This window comes from Homo sapiens, chromosome 3 (assembly GCF_000001405.40).
Source record: "Homo sapiens chromosome 3, GRCh38.p14 Primary Assembly".
Taxonomy (NCBI): Eukaryota; Metazoa; Chordata; class Mammalia; order Primates; family Hominidae; genus Homo; species Homo sapiens.
This window is the reverse complement of record NC_000003.12, coordinates 30,544,849-30,553,204: the sequence shown is the minus strand read 5'-3', so window position 1 is coordinate 30,553,204 and position 8,356 is coordinate 30,544,849. Positions and strand designations below refer to the sequence as shown.

The following is an 8,356-nucleotide window of genomic DNA, read 5'->3' as shown; positions in this document are numbered from 1 at the left end:
ACTCTTAAATTTAGCATTTTCCCTGAGATAAAATGACGTCTGTTCATTCTCTAAGGAACCAGAAGACTAGGAAGTGGTGGGTTGTGCACATTCATTAGTATACAGTAATACATTACCAAGTGGAAAATGTAGTCTGCCTTTTCTGCAAAGCATCCTGAAAAGTGACGTGGACCAGGGCTTTTCATTGATTGCAGTATGGATGAATCAAATAGGATTCATTTGTTGGTCTTTCCCTTTTCTTATTTATCCCATGTAATACACTTATCTTTTCCTTTCCAGATATTTCTCCCATTAGGTTGCATTATTATAAACTTCGGGTTATATGGGCAGATTGCTTTGTATTTTATGCTTTTTGAATCAGTGCATGCATTGAGTTCAATAAAATTACTTTCATACAACATAAATAACTAGACAACAAAAGATTAGCCAGAATAAAGGAAAACTCAAATGGAATGTCAATGCCTCTAGCCCCTTCATCTTCTCCTGTGTTTTCATCCACTCCCTCAGGTTACTCTAAAGAGTGCTCTAAATACGCCCTGAGCTTGTCATGTTTCTAATGAAGTATTCTTCCATATGAGTTCCATTGTCACTTTAGTCAGGGTGTTCTGTTCAGAGAAGATTGCTTTGGACAATGTTTTATGTAAATTTTTATCTATCTTTTATAGCTGTCACCATAAAGTTTCATATTGTACAGTTTGAGGGCATCACATCACCAATGTGACAAACAATAGACAGAACCAGGGATGCAGATATAATGTGAATATGCCAAGAGATTTGTAAATTTCTTTTTAAGAGAAGATACAGTGTAGGGGAAGAAAAATCATTTTCTCTCTTTCCTTCATAGTTCTTAACTGGGACTCCTTCTAACAAAAGACAGATTAAAAAGAGGAAAAAAAAATAGAAGTTAGTTAACATGTATTCCTCATGCATACATTGGAGAAAAACCAGTGAAATGAGAAGTCTCCAGAATGTATCTCAAAGAAGGCATTTAAACTTCAGACTTAAATATCACCATATTCTGAAACAACGAAGGGTGTGGGGAAAGGCCCAGCTAAGGTGAGATGAGCAAGAGAAGTGAAAGGTAAGGTTTGTTATGCAGATGCCTTCTCCATTGATGCTGGAATCTCTAGTGATTTAGTCTTCCTTCTCTTCTTGGTGTAGAGAGGAAGATACCCTTAACAAATGGACACTTAATTTACAGATATCAATTTCATTTACAAAAAGGTAACTTTTAAGAGCTATGCCTGTGTCTGCCTACTTTCTGAATGTAACCAGCTCAAAATAATCCTTATGTGAAAAAGGCATATTTGGAGTGCCCTATTCAGATCTACAGTCATATTTTGGGGTGGTGTTGAGTTCTGAGCCCCATCAGTAGCTACTCATTAGTATATTAAAATTGTTGGTGTATTTTGAAACTTCAAGGATATAAACATTATGTAATACAAAAGCTAATAATTGATTGGGTAAACATTAGATAACTAACAAAATAATGCAAATAGTAGGAAATACAAGGATGCATTTGAGGTTTCTAAAGCATTCCAAAGAAAAAGTAGGTTTTTTTCTTGTTGTTTATTTACAGCTGTGTGAAAATGTTACAGGTAGTTAAGCATGAGTAGGGCAGGAAAGGGCTCTCCCCCACCCACTAGAAATGTCAGGTGATGATGGTTCAGCAATTATCACATTGCTTCTCTAAAAATGATAGTTAGGCAGTGTCAGGGAGAGGCCATTTCCTGATGGTCCACACCTGTTAACATAAAAATGTTAATTGAATGCAGACCCCAGGGGGAAGCAACTTCCTGGGCATGCGTGTTAAGATAAAATCTTCTGGGTCACACTCCACTGGAAAAGGGAAGAAAGCATCAGATGGGCATGTGTATAACTACCTAAACATACTGAGCATGTTCAATTCCCAAAGGTAAGGAGAGCACCGAGCATGAGGAAAACCCACCCTAAGGGAAGAAACATGGGAAAGAGTTGAGCCTATAAAGTCCTAGGATCAAGGTTAAAGGTCATTTTTGCTGTCTTCTTCTGCTCTCTTTTCTCTCCTGGACCTTCAAGTGCCTGATTGGACGTCTTTCAAGTGAATTTTCCTATCTTTCCTATTCTAAAGCCTTTTTAAATAAACTTCCACTTCTGCTCTGAAACTTTCCTTGGTCTTTTTCTGCTTTATGCCCCTCAGTCAAATTCTTTCTTCCGAGGAGGCAAGGACTGAAGTTGCTGTGAACCCATACAGATTTGCCGCTTGTAACTCAGGGTAACTCAGATCTCTTCCACCGCTAACAAAAAGAGATATCAAATAGAGATAAATAAAATATTGTTCTGATGCCCAGCTAAAGTTAAGGATCTTAAATTTTTCATGGATCTGTTACCAACCATGGGTTCTTGCGCTTTCAGTGCAATAGAAATTGACATGAGGCCAAAAGAGTTCTCGCAGACAAGGCTTCATTGGAGCTTATGCCCGGGCATAAGGGAGACAGCATGAGAGAGAATTCCCCGACTCGCTTTCTGGAAAAAGCCAGTTGGGATATGAGGCAAAGCACAGGAATTTATATTAGGGGTAGGGTATGCAGGTCAGCATTATCTGGTTGTGATGGCTATCTTGAGTAATGGTTCACCTGGTGGTCTGGCCTGTGGCAACAAGGCTGCAAATCAATTGTTCAGCACTTCTTCCTGAGGTGAGACACTCTGCAACCTAGGTTTGATATTTTGGATTTCCTAAGGCCATTTCCTGGAATTCTTGAAATAAAGGGCATGGTTAAACATTGTGAAAGCACAGAAAGACAATATAGAATGGCTATTTTCTTTCTATGACTAAAGGCTTAAGTTAATGGTACAGTGTCAGGTAGTGGCACAGGTTTTGCAATCAGTGGGAATGCATGGAAGAATGCTCTAGTGGGGATGAACTGAAAAAAAGCCCTGTTCCTACTTTGTCTCAGATCTAGATTAAAATTTGATCAGTATGGATAACTGGAAACTATTAGTATTCTGTATGCAGGCATGGGAAATTGAATACATGAAATTTACTGAAGGTCGAAATAAAAAGTTTTTAAAAGGTGGTAGTATGATCACCTTAGAGAGCAAAGAAGACAAGGTACAGAAACCAAATGGTAGTTGAAAATAATAAAATACATAGTGGTGTGTGTGACTACTATATTCTATACTCTTTGCAGCTCAGAAATCCTGCTAACCGAAGTCTCTAGAAATTCAAGTTATGGGGACAAATGACTGGATAATGTTTATACATCCCACGTGTTTCAGGAAGAAAAACACCCTTCCCACACTCTCCAAAGTCTTCCAACTCCATATGCAATCAAGTGGTACACAATAGGGTGCTTATGTGGTGTTTAGCCCTTCCTCAAAAGAACCTGGCATAAGTCTCAGTAGGAGACAGGATATCAGAATAAATAGGTCATTGTTCCATTCCATTAGGGCAATTCTGGTGTTCCTGTTGCTTGACAAAGACACAAGTGCCGGGAAGTGAGGTCGATTGTTTCCTAGGACTCACATTTTAAAGTGCTCCTCAGTTGCTTCTTTTCAGAGTGGTTCCTTTGGTACAAGCCCAGCTGGAAAAAAGGTCTGGAGAACAATGCCACGGAGAGATAGTCTTTTTCTTTTATTCTATTTCTCCTGTTAACCATATGTTATCAATTACTTAGCAGCTCCATTTGTAAAGCATTTTTAAAATAGAAAAGTGAACAGGCAGCATCCTATCTGGCTTGGGGAAAATCTTGTGTTAAAAAGCGGAGTGAGGAAGTCTTGCCATCAGCATGATAGACCTGTAGAAGTCAGACCAGGGTTGGTGATACTCTTTTCCTAGTGATGAGGGCACATTTTAACCACTCTTCCATGTGCCATTTAATCTAAGAAACAACTGGATTTAGAAACTTTGGAAAGGTGTCTGTAATTAGTTTGCCAGGGCTGTCATAACAAAGAACCATAGACTAGGGGGCTTAAACAGCTGTACGTTATTTTCTTAATCATTCTGAAGGCTAGAATCCAAAATCAAGGTGCCAAGAGGATTGCTTTCTTCTAAGACTTCTCTCTTTGGCTTGCAGAGGTCCACCTTATTGTGTCTTCATGTAGTCTTCCCTTTCTGTGTGTCTCTGACCTTCTCTTCTTATACGGACACCTGTCGTATTACATTAGGGCCCACCCTTATTGGTGCAGAATTTTGCTCCTTAATTTAGCTACAACCGGGTTCTCGTCACACAACCAGAAAAATTTAGGCACGTGGAAAACATTGAAGAGTAAGTAGAGCAGGATTTTACTGGGCATAAAGGGGGGAAAAAAACCAGCAAAGCAAGATGGAATCCTGCTAACAGGTCTCCCACCTCACAGAGTGAATGACTCTCAGGCCACCACACAGGGACTGAGGAAGCCAAGCTCCTCCCCCTGACTTAGCTCCACCCCCTGACTGTGGCTCCACCCCCGACTGTGGCTCCACCCCCAACCGTGGCTCCACCCTGTTCCCCAGTTCACATATAGGCATGCTCAGACAAGGCCCTGGCAGGTTTCCTCATCTGCACAAAAACATCTGATGTAAACACTTGTGGGGTGGATCTATGATTCTCCAGGGACCCCTTTTTATCTGCCTAGGCATTTGGCTGTCTCCTATGACTTCGTTTTACCTTAATTACTCTTTAAAGGCCCTATCTCCAAATATATTCCTCTTCAAAGATTCTAGGGGTTAGAGCTTCAACACAGGAATTTTAGGGGAACACAGCTCAGCTCATAACAATGTCTTTTTCACTTCTTACTTGCAGAAACTCCCGGTTTAGCTCATGATTGGACAACTATGTCACAAAAATATATCTGGTTTATAAATGTCACTTGTGCTGCTGATGGCCCACTTCATATAACAGAAATGGGTTTTGACTGCCCAGGTTAAAGTGGAAGTCACAGGTTTTTCTTTTCCTGAGCTCCGGGCTCAAAAATGGAGCTTTTCCTAGTTTCCTCAGAATTGAGTGGCAGACTAAAGTGGGGAAGTCTCTGTCAAGTGCTGGTGAGGATTGACAATCTTAATATTGGATATTGATACCATTGTCACTATCAACTGAAAAATGATGAGATTCATACATTTGGAAAGGAGAGCTTTATTTCTCATAAAGGGTTGCTAGTCCGCAGGCTGGTCATCCTGCAGAGAAGCATAGCCTCTGGCAGAAGCCAAGAGCAAGCACTTGGAGGGAGTGATAAAGGGAACAGAAATTTATGCTGAGTGGGTTGGGTAAGTATACATACTCAATAGATCACAGGAGGAGCCATGAATATTTTATGAAAGGAGGAACATGAACATGAGCAGTTGCGCTTCATGCCTCTACGTGGGTTGCATGTTTAACAAATGGCACTGTCAGCATGATACATTGGTGGAGTTTTTGGCCTTCTGATATCAAAAAGTGAAGCAGAGGATATGGAAACGCCCACTGTCCCTTTTCCATGAGCCGGCCAAAACTAGTCTGGGGATGGTGGTCAGTTTTTAGTAAGAGGTTCATTGTGAAACAGGTGAGCCGTCAAGCTGAAACTGTAAAGAGGGAGGTCTGGTCATGGCCTCAGATGATTGTCTAAAGGCAATAAAAGAATAAGTGATTTGTGGCCAAGCATGGTGGCTCACACCTGTAATCCCAGCACTTTGGGAGGCCAAGGCAGGTGGATCACCTGAGGTCAGGAGTTTGAGGCCAACCTAATGTACATGGCGAAACCCTGTCTCTACTAAAAATACAAAAACTAGCAGGGCCTGGTGGTGGGCCCTGTAATCCCAGCTACCTGGGAGACTGAGACATGAGAATAGCTTGAACCCCAGAGGCGGAGGTTGCAGTGAGCCAAGATCACACCATTGCACTACAGCCTGGGCAACAGAGTGAGACTCCAGCTCAAAAAAAAAAAAAAAAAAGAATAAGTGATTTGTTTCTTGTCTTCTAGAGCTGGTTTCTGTCTACTTCTTAGGAAAGAATTCTGGTTAAAAGTTAATAAGGAAGGGGCATACTGAGGTGTGTCTAATCTCCCATCCCCTCATGGCAAGGAATCAGAACATTTCTCTGCAGTGCCTTGGCCAAGAGGGAGTCTGTGTTTAGTCAGTTGAAGGGCTTAGGATCTTATTTTTATTTCTCAGCACATGATTTGTGGACTAAAGTATTATGTGGACTTTACTTTTTTGACAAGTGTTTTCCACTTCCCTCGTCCTATGTAACTTTTCCCTTTTCATCTTTCTGTCATTGGTAATTAAAAAAGAAAGTTGTAGTACACTTTTGTCTTTTATTGTGTCACCTCAAAGAGTTTGTAAAAGTGTGTGAGCTCTAAATAAGGCACTAGCTTTTATCGATATTTATTTCTCTGTTGATATTAAGTTCATCAAAACATATCTTTATGACAATTATTGCTATTGGTGTCCCCCAAAACTAAAATATCTTTTTCCTATGTACATGTCAAATGTTAATTTAATTTTTCGTTTATCTTAAGAATTTTATTGAAAAAAATTTTAATTATATAAATTTGAAAAGTATTCAGAATATAGTCAACTGAAAATAGAACATGACAGCAAATAAGTAGCAACAAGGTAGCTGAGGTAAAATACCTTTGGGATTCAAGGTGGATTTTAGGTGGGTTAAGTGGAACTCATGTAAAATAAAAAGGAGTGAGCCTTTTTCTTTTATAAAAATATGCAGCTTTCTCTCTCCCAAGGTTCAACTTAGTGGTTGGAGAAGTCACTTTTTATTATCAGAATGAGAATGAGTAACGCAAGCACTACCTGGAAGCAAAACGGTAACGTAGCTAAGCCCTGAGTAGAGAAATGTGGACCAGTTCTTTCCAATTACTTGTTGAAATGTGGCAATTGCTCTAAAATAAAAATGTGCGAATGGGGTAAAAATTACGCCATGTGGGGGAAAGCACATTCTACTCTTTAAAACCCTTTAAAGATGCAACCATTTTCCACTCAAAACTGCTTGGTGAGAATTTGCAGGATGGCCCCACACAATTCTCAGTCATAGGGAGGTCGCTCAGGTGTTTGATTTCCATTCGAGATGGAAAAACTGAAACAGAGAAAAAGAATATAATTTCCTCATCTATGAGTCAGCAAGCTCATTGAAAAGATTATGGTAGATTTGTGGACAATACTTACTTCAGCCATAGATGGGGTTGACACAATTTTTTATTGCATTACCATGTAGACAGATGAAATAATAACTAAATCTAGGGTTATATCAGTCTTCCTTCCATTTTACATATTTTCCAGTTCTCCTATGAAAGAGTCAGCTTTGTCCTTCTACTCTTGTGTCTCCTTTTATAAAATCATAACACTTTTGTTTTATCCAATAACCTGGACACCTAAGGATTGTACACATAAATAAACAAAATTGGAATTATATTTTATATATATTTGATCTTACTAATATTATATTGTAAGGATTTTCCATAATTTCTAAATGAATTTTTCCTATCCTATCCTAACCTGATTGATTAATTAATTGATTGATTTTACAAAACTTAATTTTTTAGAGCAGGTTTAGGTTCTCAGCAAAATTGGGAGGAAGGTACATAGATTTTCCATGTACCCTCTGCTCCTGCCCCACCTGCATAAATTTATTTTTTCTTATAAACTTACTATGTTTATCTTTAGACTTAAAAATGTCTTTAGAAGAGGGCACTGTTTCTTGACATTTTGTGCTTTTTTTTGGCTATCTTTTACGGTGTTAATTTATTAGGTAAGTGATTGGAAGAAAAGAGTTTCAGAAATGAGACATTGGTAAGTATATTTTGAAGGATGGGAGAATAGTGAAAGGTACAGAGTGTAGCAGGTCGGATCGGGTGGGTCTTCTACCTAGTTAAGGACACCTTTGAACAATAATTAATGTCATTTGTGGAAAAAGAAAATCCCCAACACTTTTCTTTGTTCTGAAGATAATCAGAAACCTATTCAATTTAAAACTTGTGATGTCCCATATGGTAGTTGCTACTACATGTGGCTATTCAAATACACACTTAAATTTCAATCAATGAAAAGTGAATCAGATTAAAAATCTAGTTCCTCAGTTGCACTAGCCACATTTCAAGTGCTCAGTAGCCACACGTGGGTAGGGATTACCACATTGCATAGTGCAGATAGGGAACATTTTCATCATCAGCATCACTGTGAAGAACGGGAAAAACTTCATAAACATGTAAATAAGTGCTAAGAGGAGCTGGCCAGGCACTGAAAACAACCTATGACTACTTCAATTATGATCTTGGCAAAGGCCTGAGACTTTATGAGACGTGAACTCTTCTGACCCTCCAGGATGCTAAGGATTGAACACAACACAAACAGACTTTCCCAAATTAGTCATTTCCTTTTCCATCAATATCTGAGCTCAACACTGAAGCC

General features: G+C 39.2%; 3 annotated features.

The window, feature by feature from the left end:
• Positions 839-1,373: an enhancer, noted in NCBI's record as "NANOG hESC enhancer chr3:30593324-30593858 (GRCh37/hg19 assembly coordinates)". NCBI's record gives its function as "activates a minimal SCP1, AML or CMV promoter by ChIP-STARR-seq in primed H9 embryonic stem cells {active_cell/tissue: H9 hESC(primed)}" and the evidence as "EXISTENCE:reporter gene assay evidence [ECO:0000049][PMID:30033119]".
• Positions 1,459-1,991: an enhancer, noted in NCBI's record as "OCT4-NANOG hESC enhancer chr3:30592706-30593238 (GRCh37/hg19 assembly coordinates)". NCBI's record gives its function as "activates a minimal SCP1, AML or CMV promoter by ChIP-STARR-seq in primed H9 embryonic stem cells {active_cell/tissue: H9 hESC(primed)}" and the evidence as "EXISTENCE:reporter gene assay evidence [ECO:0000049][PMID:30033119]".
• Positions 2,950-3,835: an enhancer, noted in NCBI's record as "OCT4-NANOG hESC enhancer chr3:30590862-30591747 (GRCh37/hg19 assembly coordinates)". NCBI's record gives its function as "activates a minimal SCP1, AML or CMV promoter by ChIP-STARR-seq in naive and primed H9 embryonic stem cells {active_cell/tissue: H9 hESC(naive and primed)}" and the evidence as "EXISTENCE:reporter gene assay evidence [ECO:0000049][PMID:30033119]".